The 27,534-nt window shown below is 39.2% G+C and overlaps 1 protein-coding gene and 1 long non-coding RNA gene across 4 annotated transcripts in view; one reads left to right on the plus strand and one right to left on the minus strand.

The window, feature by feature from the left end:
- The window catches only part of CC2D2A (coiled-coil and C2 domain containing 2A), a 131,693-nt gene that overhangs the window by 93,709 nt on the left and 10,450 nt on the right, over nucleotides 1–27,534 (plus strand). For all 3 annotated transcript variants that reach the window (NM_001080522.2, NM_001378615.1, NM_001378617.1), the window contains 9 exons: nucleotides 3,804–3,909; nucleotides 4,104–4,213; nucleotides 5,720–5,816; nucleotides 6,825–6,923; nucleotides 10,577–10,753; nucleotides 16,395–16,598; nucleotides 22,584–22,673; nucleotides 24,243–24,356; nucleotides 25,972–26,106. In NM_001080522.2, coding sequence (NP_001073991.2) covers nucleotides 3,804–3,909; nucleotides 4,104–4,213; nucleotides 5,720–5,816; nucleotides 6,825–6,923; nucleotides 10,577–10,753; nucleotides 16,395–16,598; nucleotides 22,584–22,673; nucleotides 24,243–24,356; nucleotides 25,972–26,106 — 1,132 coding nt within the window. The remainder of the gene's footprint in view (nucleotides 1–3,803; nucleotides 3,910–4,103; nucleotides 4,214–5,719; nucleotides 5,817–6,824; nucleotides 6,924–10,576; nucleotides 10,754–16,394; nucleotides 16,599–22,583; nucleotides 22,674–24,242; nucleotides 24,357–25,971; nucleotides 26,107–27,534) is intronic.
- LOC124900671 (uncharacterized) lies at nucleotides 125–7,287 on the minus strand. Its single transcript, XR_007058061.1, has 2 exons — nucleotides 7,158–7,287; nucleotides 125–623 (listed from the first exon to the last, which is right to left on the minus strand). It is a non-coding gene; the product is annotated as an uncharacterized LOC124900671 (long non-coding RNA).

Raw genomic sequence — 27,534 nt, forward strand, 5'->3', positions numbered from 1 at the left:
TCAATCGCTCCTTTACAGCATACTCACTCTCATTCTTAACGTGGTTATTGTTCAGCAGGGGACTGAGGGTTCTTGCAAAGCCAAGGCCCTACTGTTTGCAAGTAATACATTCCAATTCCATCAATTCAGGCTAAAGAGGGGATTTATTAAGAACATCTCAAATAACTCGGACAAGAGGTATAGCTGAATTACAAGGGAGACTGCAGGGATAAGATAGTTCTCCTGAGGCCCCGTGGTCTCTCACTTGCCTCACTCTGAGTTTGCTTCATTTTTCTCCATGTGATGGAAGTGGCCCATGCAGCTAGAGTACCACCAATTAAGCGTCATTTTCTCCAGAGAAGTCTGAAGGTGCTAACTTGGCCAGGTGTTGATCCATGGTCTAATCGCCGATAGCCAGAGAGACAGGGTCAGAAGCACCAGCCCCAGAGATAGGAACAGATCTCAGAGAAGTGGGTATGAGCTGGGGAGAGTCACAAAAGGTGTCTGTCCAAGGTTCTGAAACATATGTGCTGTGAACATAAAAACGTGGCTTCCCTTTCATCTGTTCGGAGAAATGTGTTACGACTACTAGAATTCACTACACCAGGGGTAACAGGGAGCCTTCAGCCATTGGGAAGATGAGTCTGAGGAAACAGAGAAGGAAGGACCAAAAATTAAAACTTCTTTTTTTTTGTAGAGACAGGGTCCTGCTATGTTGCCCAGGCTGGTCTGGAACTCCTGGCCTCAAGTGATCCTCCTGCCTCAGCCTCTCAAAGTGCTGGGATTACTGGTGTGAGCCAATGCACCTGGCGTGAAACTTCTTTTTGGTAGTGCCCTTACCAGTGTAATGGGAGAAAGTAGCACTTAATGTGCATTCACCATGTTTCAAGCACCATGGTAGGCAGGTTCACATATAAGATTTCATTTAACTGTTACTGCTATTACTATCTCCACTTCACAAAAGGGGAAATGGAAGTAAAGAGAGTATAAGTGGCTTGGCTAAGGTCATTCAGCCCTAACTGTTTCCTTGGAAGAGCACTGTTCCAGCCCTTGGTGTCTTTTCTCCCTAGGTTCTTCCCCTTTAATTTAGTTCTGTCTCTCTCCTTCCTCTCACCCCATTATTTTGCCTTACATTTTTTATTTTGAAACAGGGTCTCACTCTGTTGCCCAGGCTGAGTACAGTGGTGCTATCACAGCTCACTGCAACCTCGACCTCCTGGGCTCAAGTGATCCTCCCATCTCAGCTTCCCAACTAGTTGGGACTACAGGTGTGCCCCACCACGCGAGGCTAATTTTTTATTTTTTGTAGAGACAGGCTGTCCCCATTTTGCCCAGGGTGGTCTCGGACTCCTGGCCTCAAGCGATCCTCCTGCCTCTGCCTCCCAAAGTGCTGGGATTATAGGCATGAGCCACTGCACCCGGCTCCTACATATTTGTGTGTATGTGTGTCTTTACATTTTTTAACTAATTCGTTAACCTATTAGAGAGCATCTACAATCATCAACTATTCCTAATGCTTTGTTACTTGTAAATGTCCATATAAGCTCTTGAATCTGCTGTGGCATTGCTTTCCTGAGCTCACAGCCTACCCTTTCACCCTGATTGCCTCAAAGCTCAACTGGGGTGAAAAACTATTTTTTAAAGAACATATAGGTGCTTCTTGTAGTTTTCACCTCCATAGACTATTTTTAAGTGTTAAATCATTTTATTCAACTAAATTAAGGGAGCATAGTTGATCCTACATGCTACACATTCAATGCAGATACATCGAGACAGCTCAGACATCAACTGTTCCATTAAGCCTGCCCAAGTCTTTACCATTTACCTTTGCACTCATCCACATACGGTTTTTTTTTTTTTTTGCCTCCCTCACTGTTCTAATACAGCCTCTGACCATCCCTCTAGTCTAATACCTATCTCACTTTATTGAGATGATTTGTTTATGTGTCTGCCTTCCAGTCTAGTCTGCAGTGAAGTGTTATCTTCATCTTAAAAGCCCAAAGTCTAACATGGGGCCTAAAATATAGGTACTAAACAAATGGGTTTTTGGGGGTTTTTAAATTTTACTTCTTAGACCCAGGGTCTTGCTGTGTCACCCAGGCTGGAGTGCAGTGGTGCAATCACAGCTTACTGCAGACTTGGAAATCCTGGGCTCAAGAGATCCTCCTCCCTCAACCTCCCAAGTAGCTAAGACTACAGGTACACACCACCAAGCCCAGCTAATTTGTTTTATTATTTTTTTAGAGATGGGGTCTCATTCTGTTGACCAGGCTGGTCTTGAACTCCTGGGCTCAAGCGATTCTCCCACTTTGGCCTCCCAAAGTGCTGGGAATACAGGCATGAACCATTGCATCCAGCCACAAGTGTTTGTTTAATAAAGTAACTGATGGTTTTCCAAAAAGAAAAGAGCTTTTCTATGGTACCTGTTGCATTAAATGTTCCAATTACCTTTGTCTGAAACCTTAGCTGTGAAAGGTGATAGTCTATAGAAAGAGACTATTTGTATTTTGCCCAGTGATGAATGTGAAATACTTGGCAAACCATAAGGTTCAATACAAATATGCAAGTATGTTGTTAGGGTGATGGTGGAGGTATCTGGAAGAGACTCTCTGGATTTGATCTTCATTTGTTCCTTTAAGAACAGCAGTTGAGAAGGGAGAAGAGGATAAGACTCGCTGATCCTAACTCAAGCTAGGAATCCCTGCACCTCCCTTTCCTGGTGAGGCTTGGCAGGCCCCAGGAGATTCCTTGCCTGACATGTGTAGCTTGGGGTTATTGGAGAGTGCAGGTACAAAGAACAGACAGTGGGGAGAACCTGGACTGGATGGAGATGGGGCAGGCTGGTCAGGAAGCTCAGGATCTCCTATCTGTGAGGGATTGAGGCTCTCATCTATGGAGGGAAAGGCAGGTCCCCCATTCAGGCGCCCCCTAGAAGGGAGGAGAAAGGAGACATTTTCCTTTGTTCTCAGCACACAGGCCTGGGCATGGAAGTTGGGGAAGGCTCTAGCAATCTCTAGGTGACTCTGTGGGGACCAGAGCATACTAAAAAGCCTTCTGCAATGTCAACAAGCATAAGGGAGAATGTTTGTCACCACAGCCACCAGGGCCATACATCTTTGGAAAAAAGCATCTTCTCAAGCTGGGCATGGTGGCTCACACCTGCAATATCAGCACTTTGGGAACCCAAGACAGGAGGATCACTTGAACGCAGGAGTTCAAGACCACCCTGAGCAACATCCTGAGACCTCTGGTCCCTACAAAAAATTTTAAAAATTAGCTGGGCATGGTGGAGTGTGTTTGTAGTCCCAGCTACTCTGGAGGCTGAAGTGGGAGGATCGCTTGAGCCTGGGAGGTTGAGGCTGGAGTGAGCCATAATCATGCCACTGCACTCCAGCCTGGGCAACAGAGCAAGACTCTATCTCAAAAATTTTTTTAAAAATAAAAATAAGGCTGGGTGCAGTAACTCATGCCTGTGATTCCAGCACTTTGGGAGGCCAAAGTGGGCAGATTACTTGAGCTCAGAAGTTTGAGACCAGCCTTAGCAACATGGCAAAACCACATCTTTACTAAAAATACAAAAATTAGCTAGGTGTGGTGACTCACACCTGTAGTCCCAGCTACTTGGGAGGCTGAGGTGGGAGGATCACCTGAGCTTGGGAGACAGAGGTTGCAGTGAGCTGAGATTGCACCAGCCGAGATCATGCCACTGCACTTCAGCTTGGGCGACAGAGTGAGACCCTATCTCAATAAATAAATAATTGTCTTCTCAATATATAATTAGACTTCCTCTATCATTAATTTCCTTCATACATTTTCTCTCCTAGCAAATTCCAGCAGCCGTCGAGGTCTTCAAGGATGTTCAGTGAAAAGCATGCTGCTTCCCCAAGCACGTACAGCCCAACCCACAATGCTGACTACCCCCTCGGCCAGGTGAGAGATGCTGGACTTCAGCTTTCCACCTTGCCCCTTAAGTTTTTAAGAAATGACTGTAAACTTCATGGATAGTCTGCTCTCTGCTTCATTTTCTTTGGAAACATACTACTTAGTAAATATACTCTATTTTTGCTAAGAATAAAATAATTTGACTAACCATTGGGAACTCAGAATTTGCTCTTGATTTTAAGGTTTTAGTACGTCCCTTTGTAGAAGTCTCTTTTCAACGAACAGTTTGCCATACGACTACGGCTGAAGGACCAAACCCTAGCTGGAATGAAGAACTAGAACTTCCATTTAGGTAAGCATATTTTCCTCTTTAAAGAACTATAGGACATTTTGAAGAAATGTGAAGAAAGCAGGCTCATGAGAAACGGCTAAGGTGAAGGATTTTGTAGCTAGTGAGCGGCAACAAGATCCAGGTGTCCTGACGCCAAGTCCCATGCTTTTCCTCTTGTACCACAGCTGACTCCCTTCAAGAATAAAAATGGAAAAATGTCCAACTTTTAAAACCCCAGATTCATTGTTGGGACATCCTATGCTCCTCCAGGCTCTGGCTTCTTAAAGCCCAAAGTTTTTCATTCCCTTGACCCCAATGACCTACACTGCTTTCCTTTCTTCCTCATGTCCCCTCAAGTAAATCTGAAACTCCTTAGTTCCCATAAATCATACTTTCTTCCTCACCAGAAATAAATAGGCATTTCAGAAGTTTGGTCAAAGGATTTTAGATATTTAAATGGTTCTTATTATTTCAGTACTTGAAGCAACCTTGGAGATTATCTAGTCCAACCTCTACCTTTATGGAGAAGAAACTAAAACCCAAAAAGGGAAGGTGACTTACTTAAAGCCACACAGTAAATTAGAGACAGAGCAAGGATTAGAACTACTTAAGTCAGGCCGAGCATGGTGGCTCACGCCTGTAATCCCAGCACTTTGGGAGGCCAAGGCGGGCAGATCACTTGAGGCCAGGGCACATGCCTGTAATCCCAGCTACTTGGAGGCTGAGGCAGGAGAATTACTTGAACCCGGGAGGTGGAAGTTGCAGTGAGTCAAGATCACGCCACTGCACTCCAACCTTAGCGAGAGAGCGAGACTCTGTCTCAAAATAAATACATAAATAAGAACTAGTTAAGTCAGAAGAAGGTAACAGCTACCACTATTATGCACAGAACAGCAAAAAGAACAAGAAAACATAAAGTCAAATGTTCAACAAAATACACCTATTACCCCAGACACCAGCCCTGCCATGCAGAGGCACGGTTGCTCCAGGCTTAGCTAGACTCAGAGTGGGTTATGTTACAGGAGACCTTACCCCTGTATTGCTTTACTTATATACAGAAAAGGTGAGTGTGAGGCAGGGACCATTAGACCAACCAGCCAGTAGGAGGTTTATCACTGGAGAGTGGTTTTGCTGGAGAAGCACCCTTCTGGGGCCCATTTGCTTAGGAAGTCCATATACTAGCTCCAGTGTCAGCTGGAAACCTTGTAGCCTGTCCACTAAGCTAGCTCAGTCCTGGCAAGCTGCCTCCTTGAAAAGCTTACCACAAGGGTGTGGGGGAATATGAGACTCACCAGGACAAGCCAGCAGAGGGTTTGTCTCTGCATAGAGTCTCTAATGTAATGCTCTGTCCATTTGAATATAGGTATTATAGTATCCCTGTACAAGAGAAATCCTAGAAATGAAAGCAATGCTTTTAATTCTAACATCTATGCTCATATTTGGGTATTTTTCAAATGCTGACATTTGAATGCTCATAATTTCTATGTTGCCTATTTTCACAGTCCCTGGTCATGTGCTGTCTTGCAGGGCTCCTAATGGAGATTATAGCACAGCCAGTCTGCAGTCAGTGAAAGATGTTGTGTTCATTAACATTTTTGATGAAGTACTGCATGATGTCTTAGAGGTAAGTTCTCAGTTTTAAGAAAGACACTTGTATTCACTTTCATATCCTCTACCCACTACATAAGTTCCAATCACATTGTTACCAGAAAGGGGTCCCGATCTAGATCCTTTCTTGGATATCACACAAGAAAGAATTCAGAGCGAGTCCACAGTGCAAAGCAAAAGCGAGTTTATTAGGAAAGTAAAGTGGTGAAAGAATAGCTACTCCATAGACAGAATAGGGTGTTCTCGAAAGTAAGAGGAAGAATGCATTTACCCTAGGTACAATGCTTGTTTAGATATAGGATAAAAAAAGATCATGGGAAGATGTGCTCTGCTACAAGAGTTTGTGATAAAGGATTCGTTTTCTAAATTACTGTATTTTGCAAGAATCTATTTATTATATTTAAAGCAAAATTAGGAATGCCTCTGTTCTCAAGATACCGGGATATCAGGACACTCCTAAGTCTGGGTCTGTTTAGTAAATATTATCAGTCTGTTCCCTTAACTGTAAACATCTAGAGGCCAGGAATGCCTAACTTTCTGGGAATGCAGCCCAGCAAGTCCCAGCCTCATGTTTCCTAGCCGTCACTCAAGATGGAGTCGCTTTGGTTCAAACGCCTCTGGTAACATTTTCCATCTTTCTTGTGTTTGAAATATTTGAAACTTGACATGTATCAATGGGGACAGGGGAGAGGGAGAAGGAGCTAGTTTTTTTATTTTCACTTGACTGTCTGCACTGTGCCAGGAATTGTACTAGGTGCTTTACGCACATTGTCTGATTTAATTCTAAATAATCCTATAGATTGTTAAATCTCTAGTTTATTGATGAGAAAACTGAGGTTCAGAGAGGTCAAATGACTTTCCTAGGGCCACAAAGCCATTATGTATCTGTACCAGAATTTGATTAGGTCTATCTAATATAAGTTCATATGCTTTCAGCTAAAATCTTGCTGCTTTCCTGCTGCCAGATTAATTAAATGAGTTTCTGGAGTTCTTAAGCAATTATTACTTCCCACCCTTCCTTTAGGATGACCGTGAAAGAGGAAGTGGAATCCATACTCGTATTGAGAGACACTGGCTGGGATGTGTGAAAATGCCATTTAGCACAATATATTTCCAAGCAAGGGTAAGTATCTAAAGTTAGAGGTCCATGAGAGCAGGGAATTTCTCTATCCATTTTTCCTATTAAAACGTTCTTTGTGGGCCAGGCGCGGTGGCTCATGCCTGTAATCCCAGCACTTTGGGAGGCCAAGGAGGGCACATCATCTGAGGTCAGGAGTTGGAGATGAGCCTGGCCAACATGGTGAAACCCCATCTCTACTAAAGATACAAAAAATTAGCCGGGCGTGGTGGTGCGCACCTGTAATCCCAGCTACTCGGGAGGCTGAGGCAGGAGAATCGCTTGAACCAGGGAGGCTGAGGCAGGAGAACTGCTTGAACCAGGGAGGCAGAGGTTGCAGTGAGCCAAGATCGCGCCATTGCACTCCAGCCTGGGTGAGAGGGCGAGACTCCATGTCAGAAAAAACAAAAACAAAAACAAACAAAAAAACTTTCTTTGTGCGATACATCCTTAACACTGGAAGAATATATATGCAAAGCCCATAGAAGGCTCAAAAGAAACAAACCTCTAAAGCCATTGATCTTCTGTCACATTTGCATTAAGTATCTATGTTCCTTACAATTAGTAGTTAATGTATGACTGTTCAAATCTGATAATTTTTTAAATATTAAATAAAGGTAAAGAATAAGGTGGGATAAAGTGGAAACTTGTCAAAACAACAAAGGTGGAATGGATAGATGCCTGAAAGTAACTTGAAGAAAACAATCAGGGCAGTTGAAAGCCCATTCAATCAAGTGCTTTCCATTAATATTTCTACAAGTCCTCACTATTTAAAACATGAAAAATGCAGAGACACGCTTAACAAAGACACCCTTCTTCAGAGTTAATGGTTTGATTAAGGGGATCCATTAAGTTGACAACTCTTGAATGACTTAGTAGCTCTAATCTAGGACAGTTAAAGGTTCTGAAATCGCTTTGAAGTCCCAGTATTAAGTCTATGGCAACAGGAGGCTTTGAATCACTGTAATGTCCACACAGGGTAAATGCTGTCTGGACCACAGACTCTCCATTAAAACCAAGACCAATGGTGTGAACCCGGGAGGCAGAGCTTGCAGTGAGCTGAGATCGCACCACTGCACTCCAGCCTGGGCAACAGAGCGAGACTCCGTTTAAACCAAAAAAAAAAAAAAGACCAAAACTCAAGTCTGAGAGGCTTGAATTGGTTGGTATCCCAAGAATCAATTGGAAATGCAATCTTCCCTAGGCAAAAGGGATTAGCTACAGGTTATGCAGTGACATGTTTGTCAAAATAATTTACATTTCCTTCTCTGAATAGATTTTAAATGGAAAAAAAAATTCAAGAGCACATTATTTTGCAAATCACACTGCCTGTGATAGTTGTTTGGCATTGCTAAATTTCACATTTGGGAAGGTATTCAGAAATAATTACTCTAAACTCCTTGACAAGTGAATTTCCTTCACTATATTCTGGTAATATCTGTGCTCTGTGTGGGTGTCTCTAAAACCCACTACCTTCTGAGGCAGTTTGCTCTCTTCCCAATAGCTCTGTCATAAAAGTTTTCCTTGAACTGTGCCATAATCTATATACTTCCCTGTAATTCCTATTCTTAGGTCCTGGTTCAATTCTCTGGAGCCACACATAACAAGTAGAAACCTGATTCAACAATAATAATATTAATAACAATATTTATTAGGTGCATATTATATGTTATTGCCGGGTAGTTTATACATCACCTCAATTAAACCTCACAACACAATTGGCATTGTCATCCTCATTTTATAAATGGAGAAACAGAAGCCTAGAGAGGTTAAGTAACTTGCTCAAATCACAAAGTTTACAATAGAGGTGGGATTCAACTTGTACTGGCTTTCAATATACTATCATTGCTTATGCCTGGGAAATGAGGTTGGTAAAAGCAGAGAAAACTATTGAACTTTTTTGTTTCTATGTTTCAGTACATTTTGGAGAATGACTTTATTACTTCTGTCATTTAAAAAGTTTGACTCCAAAGTGCATGCTCTCAAGTGTACCCACATTTGGTAATGTCTAAAGACATTTTTGGCTCTCACAACTAATAAGAGTTGGTACTGCCACTGACATCTAGTGTGCAGATGCTAGGGATGCTGCTGAACATCCTACAATGCACAGGACAGACCTCCATAGCAAGCAATTATCTGGCCAAATATCTATAGTGCCTGTATTAGGGTTCTCTAAACGGACAGGACTAATAGGATAGATATATATATATGAAAGGAAGTTTATTAGGAGAAGTGACCACACGATCACAAGGTGAAGTCCCACAACAGGCCATCTGCAAGCTGAGGAGCAAGGAAGCCAATCCGAGTCCCAAAACCTCAAAAGTAGGGAAGCTGACAGTGCAGCCTTCAGTCTGGGCTGAAGGCCCTAGATCCCCTAGCAAACTACTGGTGTAAGTCCAAGAGTCCAAAAACTGAAGAACTTGGAGTCTAATGTTTGAGGGCAGGAAGCATCCAGCATGGGAGAAAGATGAAGGGGGGAAGACTCAGCCAGTCTAGTCCTTCCACATTCTTCTGCCTGCTCTTCTCCTAGCCATGCTGGCAGCTGATCAGATGGTGCCCACCCAGTCCACTGACTCAAATGTTAATCTCCCTTGGCAGCACACTCACAGACACACCCAGGAACAATACTTTGTATCCTTCAGTCCAATCGATACTTAACCACCATAGTGCCCAAGCTGAGAAACCCTGTCTTAAATCCTTATACTTCAAATCTTCAAAAATGGCACACATTCCTTCCTGTGTCATCTATTTTACAGAATAAACAAGCTCGGTTATTTCAGCTGTACTTTCCATGCCATAGTTTTTTGTTTTCGTTTTTGAGACAGAGTCTGGTTCTGTCATCCAGGCTGGAGTGCAGTGGCGCCATCTCGGCTCACTGCAACCTCCACCTCCCAGGTTCAAGCGATTGTCCTGTGTCAGCCTCCCAAGTAGCTGGGACCACAGGCGTGTGCCACCACACCTGGCTAATTTTTGTATTTTTGGTAAAGATGGAGTTTCACCTTGTTGGCCAGGCTTGTCTCAAACTCCTGACCTCAAGTGCTCTACCTGCCTCGGCCTCCCAAAGTGCTGGGATATCTGGCGTGAGCCACTGTGCCTGGCCTGCCATCGTTTTTATACTCTTGTTTTCCTGTATCCTTAGATAACATTTGATCTAAGCTTTGGAATATAATTAAAATTCTGAAAAATGGAGATGGGAAGTTGGGCATTCTAGAAATGGGGAATGGCCAGTAGCCAATATTTATTGATTGCTTACCATATGCTGGACATTTTTCTTAGTGTTTTATATCTATTCATTCACTACTCATAACAACCCCACAAAGTAGATACTATTATTGTCTCTTTTTACTAATGAGGAAGCCTCAGATTCCTCATTTGTAAACCAAGTTTTGAACCCAAAACTGCGTTTAAACCAAGACTTGAACCTAAGCAAATTGTATATTCAGTACACCCTCTGCTAAACAATGAAAAGAAGGCAAGGAAGTACAGAGCCCTTTCTGGCGAGTGCTTAGAGAGATGAGATTAGAAAGATGGGATTGGCTTTGAATGCCAGTCTGAGCAATTTTGGTTCAATTTATTAAACAATGAGGAGTTGACACTTGCCTCTCAACTTCTGTTGGAAAAAGCATCAGGATGTTTACCAAGTCATATTTTCTTCACAGATTGATGGAACATTTAAAATAGATATTCCCCCAGTTCTTCTGGGCTACAGTAAGGAGCGAAATATGATTCTTGAGCGGGGTTTTGATTCTGTCCGAAGCTTAAGTGAAGGCTCCTACATTACCCTCTTTATTACCATTGAGCCCCAGCTGGTTCCTGGAGAGTCCATTCGAGAAAAGGTAACTACTTATAGTTTGGAAACCCATGTCTATGTTGATAAAACACAAGAAATGCTTGCTAGGCTATACTTTTATGAACTTTTTCCTACACAAACAGAGCCTTCCTTACTTCAATCTCCATTTATTATTCTTTCAGTTTAGATAGAATGGTGGTGAGAAAACAGATGTGTGGGTTTGTACTTTCACTGAACCAGTAATCGGGTCAATCAGCAATATGTTTATATTTATCTTGCTTTGCCTAAAACTTAAGACTTTTAGTCAAAGCAAGACAAATATAAACATGCTCTACTTCTAGAAGAATGTTCTCAATGTGAAGAAAATGAAATATCACAAACTAGAATATCAGATTGCTCTTTTATTTGACAAGTATTGGCAAGAATACATTTCCATGTCTGATCTTACATCCTTGGCTATGGTATGCATTGAATCAATTCATAGGATCATAAGACTAGATGACCTTCATGAGTCACCTCAATTCATTTCATGAAATAAATATATGTACAAGTATGCTTTTAAACAGCTCTAGAAAAGAGTTTCCAGAACTTTCACTGGTTAGCAACTGTCCCTGAACCTTCATTAAACCTATTTATGCCTAGTGTTCCATTACTGGAACGCTACGCATGTGGGAGTTATTTATATCCTACCTCTCAAGGTCATTTCCAAGGTCTGATTGCAAAAATTCAAAAAATTGCAACCTCAGGCATAAATGTGTTAAGAAATAAATGTCTTCCTGTAACATAGTTGTATAGCATTTATACATACTGCCCTCATTGGATTTGGGAGAATATATTGATGGTGACCTCTTATTCATATGTAAACAAATACAGTAATAACATCAACAACAACCACCATGATGTACTGAATCCGTACTCTGTCCTTAGCACTATGTCAAACCTTGGATGCATGTTCTGACCTGAATATGCATAGGTGTCTTGGACAAGGGGTCTCCAACTTACAGAAGAGGAAAATAAGCTTCAATTTATGCAGGGTGACATAGGCAGAGGTAACACATGTCTGTCTGACTCTAAACTGTACATATTCAGCATATATTTACTGCACATCTTCTGTGTGACAGACATTTCTTAGGCACTGGGAGTACAGTAGGCTAGAAAAGCAAATAAAAATTCCTCCAAGCTTACATTCACATGTAAGCGTAAGTTGTTAACTACTAACCTATAGTGCACAGATTATTGTGCTTACTCTAGTCTATCCATTATAATTAAGACTTAGATAGAGATGGAAAAAAACAAACATACTCCTTTTTTTCCAGTATTACAATTTGGTTCCCAGAGAAAAATATCATCACTATCTCCCATCTGCAATGCACTGAAATTTAAATTAATTGTATATTTTGTCAGTAAAACAGTGCTTCTCTAGATATATGCATTTCAAAATATTTTAGAAAGGGAAAATATATTCTGAATGTTTGTCTTCATGTATAATATAAATTCAAATGAACGCCAATAAACATGTTTACACACAAAAATACTTCCAGACAAAAGATGATTTTGCTGTTTCTATGTATATGTAACAGAAGAACAGGCAGTCAGCTAGGACCCCACCTTGGGGGTGTGTTTCTAAAACACGTGAAAGCAGTCTATCCTGGCAGAAAGGATGAAAGCCCAAGACTCCTCCACACTAGGCATCCCTCACGGGCCCTGACTTCTTACTGCAGGACTTTAAAGAGGCCTCCAGGGCTCTGAACCACAGTCCTCAAGTCCTGCAGCCTTCCTTCCCTAAAGCTATTAAATGGCAGTCAGATTCTGCCTTTGGTGGCAGGTCACTACCGCACTGTGGCTGTAGAAAGCATTTATCTTAGACCTCTAAAATGAGGGCTTAAAAAACCCCTATGGAAGGCAGATTCTTTGTGGCTGTTTGATAAGGAAGGCATGTTGATTGACAGAACCCTTATGTCCAAAAGAGGCAGTGGCAGAAAACACTGCTCAGTGATTCACTTGCAGACAATTCAGGAAAGAGAAGGTCTCATCCTAAAATTATAGGGTCAACAACCTGGAATTGTTTTTCCACTTACAGCAATACTTCCTGGATTAGCAGATTAGAGTCTCTCCTCTACCACCATGCCATATGGAACCATTCCATAGGATGTTTTAAACATATTTACCAATGGAAAATTTTTAAAGATGGGTAGAAACTCCTGAAACTCTTATTTTAATATCACTTACATGATCTTGTTAAAAATGTTTTTTTAAAGATTATCTCTGTTACTAAAGCCTGCCTCTTGTTTCTTTTTCTTTCTTTCTTTCTTGCCTCTGATAGATGAGTAACATGCTTAAGAAGGTACTAAGTATTTTGTTTTACTATTTTATTGGTCAATAGTTATTAGGCTTTAATTAGCTGCTTCTGTCCACTGCCACCTGAGGGACAGGTGTTATGTCCTAACGTATGTGTAATGCCTGGGCATTGAATTACAGATGTCTCCAGTTCCATGAGGAATGTCCTGCCTTATCTTTTGGCCCATTTCATTTTACCAGAAAGACTGTTAGTTAGCTTTGAATCTAAGAAGTCATCAGTCTGAATGTCACCTGCATACTGGGAGCTAGCTCTACTCTTTGCAAATCTATAAAACCCACGAGCTGCTTCTTACAGTGTATCTCTGAAAGTTATTTCTGGTGGGTTGGGGCTGTCTCAGTACAGCTTTTCTTTTTTGTTGTTGTTTTTTGTTTTTGAGAGAGGGTCTTGCTCTGTCACCTAGCTGGAGTGCAGTGGTGCCATCACAGCTTGCTGCAGCCTCGACCTCTTCAGCCCAAGTGATGCTCCTACCTCAGCCTCCCAAGTACTGGGACCACAGGCATGTGCCACTAGGCACAGCTAATTTTGTTTATTTTTTTTGTAGAGTTGAGGTCTCCTTTTGTTGACCAGGCTGCTTTCAAACTCCTGGGCTCAAGTGATCCTCCGGCGTCAGCCTCCCAAAGTGCTGAGATTACAGGTGTGAGCCACTGCACCTGGCCAGTGTAGCTTTTCAAAGGCAACATACACCCATTCAGTTTTTTATAAATGTTTACATTAGAGGCCAAAGAATTGAGCCAGTCAAGAACCTTTCAAATTTTCTGTTGAATCAAACTGAAATTTGTCAGCTCCACCTTAATTTGTTTCATCATAAGTGACCCAAATTCTTTCAGTATTTAACTTCTCCTTGGCACTTCTTAGATCACTAACATAGCATACTACTAATCCTTAAATTCCTGTTTCACACCATAAAATGGCATCTTGGTGGCCTAGACAAGTATTAAAGACTAAATGCTTACCATGTGTATGCTAGGTGTACATAAGGAATATTCAAACACAGGCCTCAAGAAGGACTGCTTATAGAGGCAAGTGACTCAACAGAACATTCCAATGAAAGTGGTAGAAAAAGCTTTAGACACACTTTTTTTTTTTTAACTTGGAAGGCCAATAATCAGTACTGATTCAAGATTGTTGTTGTTCTTTTGGACAGTGCCTATAGCTGCCTCTCTTACATGCTCCCACAGCACTGTAGGTCTCAAGTCCCTGATTGCTTATTAATGTTCCCCTGTAGACTAAAAGTTCTTTTGGAGGATTCTTCCATACTCATTTATCCAGAGTGCCTGGAATTTTTCAGACTCCCAACATTTTTCAAAACTTGGATGAATGAGTAAATGAAATAGTTTAGAGGAACACAGATGAATTCAACTGTGTCCTTTTTTGCACATCATTCTTGTTTTATAATTCTCCATTTTTCCACAATTACAATTACTCCTGGACTGACCATTCTACATTAGAAATCTGTGATACACCTACACCAAAGCTGTATGAGCTTACCTCTTTCACTTAGTTACATATTCATCGTAACTTTTATTAGGTAGCTACTGTCTTGGCACTATGCTCAGCAGCAGGCAGTTATGACTGTGATGATGTTAAGATTTAGATGTCAAGGGACATTTTATGAGAATATATAGGAGGCTTCTGGAGATATCTCCATCCTAAATAACCCCTACAACCACTACTCCAACTTCTTAGGGTATAGTAATCAAATCTGGAATAGAAGCCACAGTTCAGCCCCAATATAAGGGGCAGACAAGAACAATTGGGATAATCTAGATTCTATTTGAGGTCATAAAAAGTAATGAAATGTTTTCCATTGCCTCATTCATTCACTCATTTGTTAAATACTTACTATGTGCCAAGTAGTATTCTCCACACTGGAGATAAAAAAACAAAATCCCTGAAGTCAGGAATCTTACTTTGTGGGAAAGACTGAGAAAACAAATATATCACAATGTCAAAAACATTTTCAAGCACTGCCTCTAAATTCTGTTTTAAAATTATTATTCTTTTTTAACAGAGTCTCACTCTGTTGCCCAGGTTGGAGTGCAGTGGCTCAATCTCAGCTCACTGCAACCTCCGCCTCCCAGGCTCAAGTGAGCCCCCTACCTTAGCCTCCCAAGTAGCTGGGACTACAAGCACGCATCACTACACCTGGTTTGTTTGTTTGTTTGTTTGTTTGTTTGTTTTTAATAGAGACAGGGTCCCATTATGTTGCCCAGGCTGGTCTCAAACTCCTGAGCTCAGGTGATCCTCTTGTCTCAGCCTCTCAAAGTGCTGGGATTGCAGGTGTGAGACACTGTGCCCAGCCCCCAAAATTAATTTTTAAAATAAAATTTTCAATTTGTTCTGAAATCCTTTAAAATGTAACCAACTATGAAAATATTTTTATACAAAAAAAATTTAAAAATATTTAAAGACCCACTCTTTTTCATGTTATTTTTGTTAGTAGCAGCTTTAGTGGGGGAAATGACAATATGTGTGTAAAGGAAATCTACATTTGTTCTGTTTCATCTGCTTTGAGTTACTTTTTAAAAGTCTGGGAATTGGTGGCTGGATGTAGTGGCTCACGCCTGTAATCCCATTGCTTTAGGAGGCCAAAGTGGGAGAATCACTTGAGCCCAGGAGTTTGAGGGTACAGTAAGCTGTGTTTGTGCCACTGCACTTCAGCCTAGGTGACAGAATAAGACCCTGTCTCAAAAAAAAAAAAGTCTGGGAATTGTTTGCTCATCTTGGCTCAGAGAACCAAGATGAGCAACCAGTTATTTAAAATAATTCTTATACATTTGATGTTTCTAGTTCTGCCTCTTTTTTCCTTTGAGATCCATTACTATTAGTTATTTCACTGCTTATGGACTTGAAACATTTTAACACATTGATATAGATCCATAAATTTGCTGCCCATTTAACATGAGTTGCTTAAGATTTACATATGAGATGTTAGATTTTCTGGGGCCGCCCCCCAGCCTGCACACTTAAAACCACCATCAAAATACACACAAAACTCTACTGCCTAATTCTAGCCTCATCAATCAGAATTAGTACATCACAGTTTAATTTTCATAGATTATTAATGTAGTAGTTTCCATATGGCTGCTTACCTGCTACTTTATTTCAATCCTGTCAAATATATTTTAAGTATTTAATGAGTCGGTCTAATTTTCAAACTACAAATTTAATTTAAATAAAGCTGCAGGGACACCAGGACATGACAGCTTTGTAAGGAGTCAGTCATATTCCCAAACCATACATTTCCTGCATGTTGACTGTGGAATCTGAACACGTACTTTCTCTCTTGTAATCATACATAAACTCCATGAAGTCTTTCTTTTTGAAGTTTGAGTCTCAGGAAGATGAGAAATTACTTCAAGCAACTGAGAAGTTTCAAGCTGAATGTGCCTTAAAGTTTCCAAATCGTCAGTGCCTTACAACAGTAATTGATATAAGCGGAAAAACTGTTTTTATCACACGTTATCTCAAACCTTTAAACCCTCCTCAGGAGCTCCTTAATGTCTACCCCAATAATCTACAGGCAACTGCAGTAAGTATTTCATAGTCAATAAGTGCTGTGCTAAAACTGTTTTCACATTTCAATATATTGCCATTTTAATTACCATATTTCATAGTGCTTAAGATGTTAACTATATCGAGATCATTAATGACAAAAGTAATGATTAAAACATTTTTATTAACATGAGGTTTTCTTCCTTTAGAAAAGTCTGAAGGCAGCCAGGCAGTGGCTCATGCCTGTAATCCCAGCACTTTGGGAGGCCAAGGCGGGCAGATGACTTGAGGCCAGGAGTTTGACACTAGCCTGGCCAACATGGCGAAACCCCATCTCTACTGGAAATACAAAAATTAGCCTGGTGTGGTGGTGCATGCCTGTAGTCCCAGCTACTCGGGAGGCTGAGGCCTAAGAATAGCTTGAACCTGGGAGGCAGAGGTTTCAGTGAGCCAAAATTGTGTCATTGCACTCTAGCCTGGGTGACAGAGCAAGACTCTGTCTCAAAAAAAAAAAAAAAAAAAAAAGTCTAAAGGTACCAGGGATGACAGTTTCCATATGTTGGAAAATTAACATATGGAAAATGCTTTACACTTCCAAAATGTATTACATAAACATGTTTTCATTATGTATTCTCAATCACTTTGTTAGGATTTGAACTGATGCCTCTGACTTCAGAAGTTATACACATTCAACTGTACTAAGATAACTATCCAGTATTACGCCTAATGCTATATGCATCACTGAGTTCAAATTAAGCAAAATTTATTTCAAATATTTAAGTATTTTCAGCATTTAGACCATCATTCCAAAGTACTTCCACACTGGGCCATTAAATATGCATGCACCATTCTCTGGCTTCAGAGCACCATACCCATCACAAACTTGTGTGAATCAGAAGGCATATGTTAACCAGGCTAATTTTATGTGGATACCATAACCCATAACTGCCTTTGGAGAGTGGATAATATAGGAAGTTATTGCTACTAATAGTCACTAATATACTAATTTAGAAACAAGGTAATGATATATCTTTTTGTAGATATAGATGTATCAAAAAAAACCCCACTTTGTGTTCTACATTTCATTTGCTTTTTATATTACACAATTTTTATAGAAAACAATAATAGGGACTTCTATTCTACCTAGCATAGTAGATGTACAGAAAATTTCTCCCAGTAGAGAACACTTAAGAGTGATGAATAAAATATCTAATAAGTCATGGCTGAAATGAAAGTAAAGTGATAGGGAAAATATAAGAGACAAGAAATAAGAAAGGAAGATTCTACAATGATGAAAGCTTGAAATAGTGTTTGCTCTCAGGTCATCTGATAATTCCTAATGACTATAGCTGGGTTTCAATGACCACAAGGCTGTGGGACACAGGGATAATGCATGGGGCTACAGCAGCCTGGAAGACTGAATTAGAGACTCAAATGCAGAGTTGGGACTCTTCAGGATAATACCATCAATGGATAAACTAGGAAATGCCCTGTCTAAAGAAGGAACACTGCCTGTCTCAGTCTTGACTTTGGATGGAAGAGAAAAAAAGAAAACTTTCTAACACCTACTCTGTATTTACTCACATTTGAGACTGGAATTTATACTACCTGTATAACCCAAAAAAACTTCAACTGAAAATCTAGTTGAAAGTATTTCCTGTTGGTAATGCCCCTAGATCCCTGTTGAAAGCAAACATAAATACCACAAATATTCCTAGAAGAATGCCCTTCTAACTCAGCCTCAAAAAAATTCCACAGAAAAAAATTCCAAGAAACATGAACATACAATGAAAGATCATCAATGAAGAAGTAAATCACCATAAAGAAGGTAAGAGTTCATTCACAAAAACAACAAACTGAAGAATCAGGCCATAGTAACTCCAGACAGGAGAATTATTGGATGTAAAATATAACATAGACATGTTTAATATATTTAAGAAATTTGGGGAATTTAAAGTATAATTAAAAAACAATAGAGCATTGGAATTGACAGGCAGATTTTTTAAAGTACCAAGTGGAACTTATAACAATAAAAGATATAATAGTTAAAATTAGAAATTAAACAGGTTAAACAAAACATTGAATACAGTTAAATAAGAGGTAAATTACATACAGTTAAATATAAAGAGAATTATTGAACTAGAATACACAAGCAAAGAAATTATTTGGAATACAGCACACAGAATCTAAACCCAAATTAAGTAGAAGGGAAGAAATAATAAAAATAAGAGCAGAAATAAACAAAATAAAGACTTAAAAATGCAAAAGATCAATGCAACAAAGAGCTGATTTTTAGAAAAGATAAACAAAATCAACAAACCTTTAGCTGGAATAAGAAAAAAGAGAGATGACTTAAATAAAATCAGAAATAAAAAAGGAGACACTGCAACTGATAGCACAGAAATGCAAAGGATTATAAGAGACTTATTTGAACAATTATGAACCAAATTATAAAACTTGGAAGAAACAAATAAATTCATGAACATATACAACTTACCAAGACTGAATCATGAAGAAATATACCTGAACAGAACAATAACAAGTAATGAGATTGAAGCTGTAATGAAAAGTCTCCTACCAAAGAAAAGCCTAGGACCTGATGGTTTCACTGCTAAATTCCACCAAATGTTTAAATAAGGACTAACATCAATTCTGCTCAAACTATTCCAAAAAAAATTAAAGAAGAGGGAACTCTGTTAAAGTCATTTTATGGGCCAGCATTATCCTGATACCAAAACCAAAGGCATAACAACAATAAAACTACAGGCCTATATTCTAGGATAAACATAGCTCTAAAAATCCTCAACAAAATATTGCCAAACAAAATTCAATAATATATTAAAAAAATAATGCAACATGGTCAAGTGGGACTCATTCCAGGGATACAAGGATGGTTCAACACAGGCAAATCAATAAGTGTGATATATCACATTTACAGAATCAAGGACAAGAACCACTTGATCATTTCAACAGATGGTGAAAAAGAATTCAATGGAATTCAACATCCCTCATGATAAAAACTCAATGAATTGGGTATAGAAGGAACATATTTCAACACAATAAAGGTCATAAATGACAAACCCACAGCTAACATCATACTGAACAGTGAAAAGTTGAAAAGTTTTCCTCTAAGATCAGGAACAAGACAAGGATGCCCACTTTCTCCAACTCTATTCAACATAGTACTGAAAGTTCTAGCTAGAGCAATGAGGCAAAAGAAATAAATAAAGGGCATCCAGATTTGAAAGGAGGAAGTCAAGTTGTTCTCATCTGCAGGTGACATGATCATAAATTTAGAAAACCCTAAAGACCCCATCAAGAAACTGTTAGAACTAATAAATAAGTTTAGTAAAGTTGCAGGAAACAAAATCAACATCGAAAATTTAGTAGTGTTTCTATAAACCAATAATAAACTAGCTTAAAAAAATCAAGAAGCAATCCCATATACAATAGCTACAAAAATTTATAAGATACCTAGGGATAAACTTAACCAATGAGGTGAAAGATCTCTGCAATGAAAATTACAAACACTGGGCTCAGCGTGGTGGCTCACGCCTGTAATCCCAGCACTTTGGGAGGCCGAGGCGGGCGGATCACGAGGTCAGGAGATCTAGACCATCCTGGCTAATATGGTGTAACCCCGTCTCTACTAAAAATACAAAAAAAGTTAGCCGGGCGTGGTGGCGGGCACCTGTAGTCCCAGCTACTCGGGAGGCTGAGGCAGGAGAATGGCGTGAACCTGGGAGGTGGAGCTTGCAGTGAGCCAGGATCGTGCCACTACACTCCAGCCTGGGTGACAGAGCGAGACTCCATCTCAAAAAAAAAAAAAAGAAAAGAAAAGAAAATTACAAACACTGATGAAAGAAATTGAGGAAGGCACAAATAAATGGAAAGATATCCTGTGTTCATGGATTGGAAGAATTAATATTGTTAATATATCCATATTACCCAAAGCAATCTACAGATTCAATGCACTATCAAAATACCAAGACATTCTTCACAGAAATAGAAAAAAAAAATCTTAAAATTCATATGGAAATAAGAAAAGATCCCAAATAGCCAATGTAACCTTGAGTAAAAAGAACAAAGAACTGGAAGTATCACACTACCTGTCTTCAAAATATACTACTGTAGTAACTAAAACAGCATGGCTGTGGTCTAAAAACCCACATAGACCAATGGAAGAGGATAGCAAACCCAGAAATAAGTCCATGCATTTACAGCCAACTGATTTTTGACTAAGGCACCAAGAACACACATTGGGAAAAAGGACAGTCTGGTCAATAAATGGTGCTGGAAAAATGACATCCACAGGCAGAAAAATAAAACTAGAGCCCCCATCACTCACCATATACAAAAATCAACTCTGAAAGGATTAATGAATTAAATGTAAGAACTGAAACTATGAAACTATTAAAAGACAATACAAGGGAAGTACTTCATGAAATTTGGAGGGGATTTTTTTTAGTAAGACCTCAAAAGCACAGGCAACAAAAGCAAAAACAGACAAATGAGATTACATCAATCTAAAAAGCTTCTGCACAGCAAAGGAAACAATCAATAGAGTCAAGAGACAACCTACACAGAATAGGAGATAGTATTTGCAAGCTGTGTCTAACAAGGGGTTAAAATCTAGAATACGTAAGGAACTCAAACAACTCAATAGCAGAAAACCCCAAATAGTTTGATTTAAAAATTAGCAAAAGAGCTGAATTGGTATTTCTCAAAAGAAGACAAATGTCCAACAAACAAATGAAAAAATGTTCAACATCACTAATCATCAGAGAAATGCAAATCAAAACCATGAGACACCACCTCACTCCAGTTAAAATGGCTCTTTTCAGAAAGACAAAAAATGACAAATGCTGGCAAGGGTCTGAAGAAAGAGGAACTCTTATACACAGTTGGTAGGAATGTAAATTAATACAGCCAATATTGAAAAACAGTATAGAGGGTCCTCACAAATTAAAATCAGAACTACAATGTGATCTGGCAATCCCATTACTAGGTATATATCCAAAGGAAATGAAATCAGTATATCGAAGAAGTATCTGCACTCACACGTGTATTGCAGTGCTATTCACAATAGCCAAGATATGGAATCAAGCAAAGTACCCATCTATGGATGAATGAATAAAGAAAATGTGGTAAATATACACAATGGAATGCCAATCAACCACAAAACAGAATGAAATTCTGTCATTTGCGACAACATGGGTGAAGCTGGTGGGCATGTTAAGTGAAATAAGCCAGGACAGAAGGACAGAGACAATATGATCTCATGCATATGTGGAAACTAAAAGTTTATCTCAAAGTAGAGAGTAGAATAGTGTTTACTAGAGGCTGGGGAGGGAAGGCAGGAGTGCAGATGGAGAGAGGCTGTTCAACAGGTGCAAAGTTACAGTTAGGAAGAATGAGTTCTGGTGTTCTATTACACAGTATGATGAATACAGTTAATAATAATGTATAGTATATTTCCAGCTAACTAGAAGAGAGGATTTTGAATATTATCACCGCAAAGAAATGATAAATGTTTAAAGTGATGGATATGCCAATTACCCTGATTTCAACATTATACAATGTGTAAATGCATTGAAACCTCACTGTTTTGGTTCCCAAGTACTATTGGGAACCACATGTCTTGGTTCCCAAGTACTATTACCCTCTCAACCAGGGCTCCTTAGAGAAATGACTGCTTTCAAGACTGGGCCAAGTGAAAATGCAAGATGATTCTAGAAAGTCTTTTTATATCAGAAAGTAAAGTAGTGCGAAATGAAAGAAAATTAAAAAAGACTTGTCAAAGGGACACAGTTTCTTCATCTGTAAAGAATGGGTAATAACAATAACCTTCCATATAGGATGTTTGGTGAGGATGGAGATATTAATACAATATTTAGTGAGCATTAGTTTCATTTTGTACATGTAAATGTTTGTAATATTTGAGATTTAAGAAATGAGGTAGGGGATGCAGCATTCTGTTTTATTATAAATTATTTTTGTAAAGCTCATTTTGATTATACAGGAACTGGTGGCTCGATATGTGTCCTTGATTCCCTTCTTGCCTGACACTGTCTCATTTGGTGGTATCTGTGACCTCTGGAGCACATCTGATGTAAGTAGTTCTTCTTCACAGATTTAGAAACTTGAGCTGACTTAATGAAATATTAGCTAACTGACTTGCATAATTTTAAATTGCAACATTCATTAGCCATAAAAATCTAATTGGCTGTTTAGTAATATGAGCTAAATTTTGAAGTATTTTTTCTTCCTGGTTCAATTTTCTCAAGGTTCAGAAGTTAACAAAAAATTAATTACACAAAAAATTTAAAAGTAACACTTCAGATGTCTTAATGCTGATTTACCCTCCCAGTATTACTGTAAAACTTCTTGGTTTTGTTCATGAAAAATACCAAAATTACATTCTATATTATAATTAGAAATGATATATTCCTTAATTTGTGGGCTTTGTAAGGCATGGCAAATTATTATTTATTCAGTATGTACTTCTTGGTCACTTACCACATACCAGATGCTGTACTAAATTCTGGCTATAAATGAAATAAACATAGTCTCTGCCCTCATGGAATTTACAATCTATGTATGCTGCATAATCTCTCAAATATATCATAGGTAGTATGAAACAAGCATATATTATCACAGGTATTAATTCTACTTCTGGATCTCATGTTGTACTGCTTTTGCATAAAACTGAACTGTATTATACAACTTCCTTTGAAGTATAGCCCTAAATTGAAGAAATTTAAGTGCACTTTAAATTTTTTGTTCCCCAATACATTTTGGCAACATAAATGTTGACAATTTTAGAGATAAAATTTCTACAACTTTGAGACATCTATAAGAAGTTACTGAAAGACTAGAATTTGTGTACTCTAGAGCAGCAGTCCCCTTTTGGCATCAGGGACTAGTTTTGTAGAATACAATTTTTCCATGGATCAGTCAGAGGTGGAGTCAGGGATGGTTTCGGAATGAAACTGTTTCACCTCAGATCATCAGGCATTAGATTCTCATAAGGCCTGCACGACCTGGATTCCTTGCATGTGCAATTCATAATAGGGTTTGCACTCCTATGAGAATCTAATGCCCCCACTGATGTGACAAGAGGCAGAGCTCACGTGGTAATGCTTGTTCACCTGCTACTCACCTCCTGCTGTGCAGCCTAGTTCCTAACAGGCCACAGACTGGCACTAGTCCACAGCTGGGGGACTGGGGACCCTTGCTCTAGAGCTAGACTGGCTTTACTACTTCCTAAGTGTTACCTTATTAATCTGTACCTCAACTTGCTCATCTGTAAAATATGCAAATTGTTCTAGAATTAAGTAAGTTTAATGAAGTAATGTGCTTTAAAGATCGTTTAGCACATGAACTATATATACATTAAAAATAAAAACGAAACTTTGAAATTTTTCTCCCCGACCCTACCACAATCATAGTGAGTATTGATTCTAGAAATCCACATCATCAATGTCAGAGAAAACACCATGCCCACTAAAAGTGGTTTTTTAAAAAAATGAATTATCAACATAGTATCAAAATTTCGGGCAAGATTATAGGTCTTACACTTCAAGACACTAACCTCTACTATGACATATTAGAATCCTGCACAACCAATCCAGAATAAAGCATTGAGTCATACAACATAATTTTTTTTTCTTTTTGTCAGCAATTTCTTGATCTCCTGGCAGGGGATGAAGAAGAACATGCAGTACTATTGTGTAATTACTTTCTGTCTCTGGGTAAGAAGGCCTGGCTGTTGATGGGCAATGCTATTCCTGAGGTAAGACCACATAGGCTGCCTTTAACAGAGGAGTATAGTTGTCTAATCGAGTTGTGTGTTCCAGATCACACACAGGACATATTTTCATAACGATCCTTTGGGTTGCTAGGAAAGTGGCCCACAGATGCCGTAACGGGCAGAGAGAACTACCAGTGATAAGACATGAAATGGTTTTCAGTGGTCCTCAGGGCCCCATGCAACACTTCAGATTATTTTTTGGCAAACCCGAACCCTTTACCATCCAAAGCCCCCACCTAGCTCTGTCCTTTTAGTATGGGCCTCTTCCCAGCCATGTTCCCAAGAATTCAGATTCCCTTAATGATGTGGTAGTCTTCATGCTTTGCAATGAAGAGGATCCAAAGGAGTGTGTGTGGTAAGGTTAGAGATCTCTCCTTTCATGCCTACTGCTTCTATAGGTATCTGCTGCTAGCCTGGCATGCAAAGGGGAATAAGCCAGATAAGGAGGAATGAAAAGAACGTTAGCAGCTTTATTTTTATATTAACATTGTTATTTTTATTAGATTGGAGACTATTAGAATTTTTCCCTAGCCCACTACAAATATCCCTACATTTGTGATGCAAATAGGTAAGTTTAGAAAATTCACATACATTAGAGCAGTTTATCCAAAGAGGCCACAAGGCTCTAGGAATCCTTGGAAATTCGATAGCATGAGTTGCTGCAAGGCAGGTAATAAAGTAGTATCATATTCATATTCAAATTCATTCTCCATCATTATCTCCCAGATAGTCTGGTCCCAATAAAAGAACACTGGGCTTGGAAGTTATAAGGCTGAAGTTCAAGGTTCTGTGCCCACTCCTCATTAGCTGTGTGACACTAAGTAGGTCACTCCACAACTCTGGGTTTTATAGAAAAGTGGGATAATTTCTGCCCCGCCTTCCCCAGAAAACTGTTGTGAGCATCAAGTGAAATCATACAGGGGGAATAAATGATAACAATAATAAATAAATAATAATTTAAATAAATAATAAAAAAATTCTCATTGTAAAAATAGAACCTAACAATACGTAAGTATTCTGTGTAAAAAGTAGAAGTCCCTTGTCAGAAGATCCAGAATACCTTGACAAGGGACTTCTACTTCCCCAACCCCCAATTCCACTCCCCTCCCCAGGTACAGTCATTCTTAACTGTTTGGTACATATCCTTCCAAATCTACTATGCATTTACATAGTTACAAATGTTTATCAAATATAAATTACTATATTAGAAATAGAAATATTTCTATTCAAACATAATCAGCCTTCTATAGACTTAAATGGCAGTCTTACTGACTCTAAGAAGAAAACGCCAGTGACTGCTTATTTCCACTAATAATAGTTCTTCAGCCAATCTTAAGATATACTGGTTGAGTAAGATGATGACTGTCCTTTTTTGGTCATTGTACTAGTATCAGATGCAAGAATTTTGCAAAACTAAGCATTCGACTTTACTTTTTAAATTCAGCATAACCTAGAACTTCAAAGTAGTTTTCACCATTAACCATGAAATTTCAGAAATTAAGGGTCCAAGTAAAATAATGAATTGTCTGTGCAAACTACTATTGGCCTTCACTGCATAAATAGTTGAAAACTAGTTTTAATGGCCATCTTCTTTCAGGGTCCAACTGCCTATGTGCTAACTTGGGAGCAAGGTCGTTATTTAATATGGAATCCCTGCAGTGGACATTTTTATGGACAATTTGATACATTCTGTCCCTTGAAAAATGTGGGCTGTTTAATAGGTCCTGACAATGTAAGTATTAACATTTCTTCTTAAATATGGTTAGCTGTCGTTTCTTTTAAATAACTGACCTATTGATTTAAATATTTTATGTAACCAAAATATTTATATAAATGAATATATATATATATACACACATATATATATACCAGTTAAAAGAAATGCAGTGTCAAGCACAGTGGCGGAACTGTGCTAAATACAACTTTTGGTTCAATTAGTCACCTGACCTGCCCGAGAAGCAGAATGACAAAGCAGAATAACAAAGGAATACAGGATTTAGATTCAGAGGACCTGAGTTTGTGTCCTGGGTCTGTCCTTAGTTTTCTCATCCAAAATAGAGTTTACAATTTCTAATTCGTAGTGTTTTAAGAACTGAGGCAAATTTGTCACCTGAACAGATTGGGTTTCTCTGTCTCTTTCTCTCTTTCTTTTTTCAAAGGAGATTCCCAGGTCTCACCTGGCCTGCAATATCCCCAGGTAATTCTAGTTGCGCCAGTTTTGAGGGCTGCATGATTTTATTGTGAAGGGTACTAAATAAAGTAGTGGTTAAAAATATAAGTTATAGAGCTGGGCGCTGTGGCTCATGCCTGTAATCCCAGCACTTTGGGAGGCCAAGGTGGGTGGGTCACCTAAGGTCAGGAGTTCGAGACCAGCCTGGCCAACATGGCGAAACCCCGTCTCTACTGAAAATACAAAAATTAGCTGGGCATGATGGTGTGACTCTGTAATCCCAGCTACTTGGGAGGCTGAGGCAGGAGAATTGCTTGAACCCAGGAGGCAGAGGTTGCAACGAGCTGAGATGGAGCCACTGCATTCCATCCTGGGCAACAGAGCAAGACTCCATCTCAAAGAAAAATGAGTTATGCGATCAGACTGCCTCAGTTTAAACTCCAATTTTATCATTTACTAGTTGTGTGGGCTTGGGAAAGTCAATCTCTCACAGCTTCAGCTTCTTCGCTGGTAAAATGGAGGTAACAGTAAAGTCACTACTTTATAGAATAGTTGTGAGAAGTGAATGAGATTATTAATGTTAAGCACCTAACAGAGTAACAACTCTTTAATTATTTTTTTAATTATTATTTTTCTTTTGAGATAGTTTCGCTCTGTCGCCTAGGCTGGAGTCCAGTGGTGCCATCTCAGCTCACTGCAATCTCCACATCCTGCGTTCATGCGATTCTCCTACCTCAGCCTCCCAAGTAGCTGGGATCACAGGCACGTGCCACCTTGCCTGGCTAATTTAGTAAGAGATGAGGTCTCACCATATTGACTAGGCTCATCTCCAACTCCTGGCCTCAAGTGATCCACCTGCCTTAGCCTCCCAAAGTGCTGGGATTACAGGCGCGAGCCACCACACCCAGCAAATTATTGAATGATTGTTTTTATGTGCTTCTGTCTATAAAAACTGTTTGCACATGCATCCCCAACATGCATATTTTTATG

The sequence above is a fragment of the Homo sapiens genome, chromosome 4 (genome assembly GCF_000001405.40).
Source record: "Homo sapiens chromosome 4, GRCh38.p14 Primary Assembly".
NCBI lineage: Eukaryota > Metazoa > Chordata > Mammalia > Primates > Hominidae > Homo > Homo sapiens.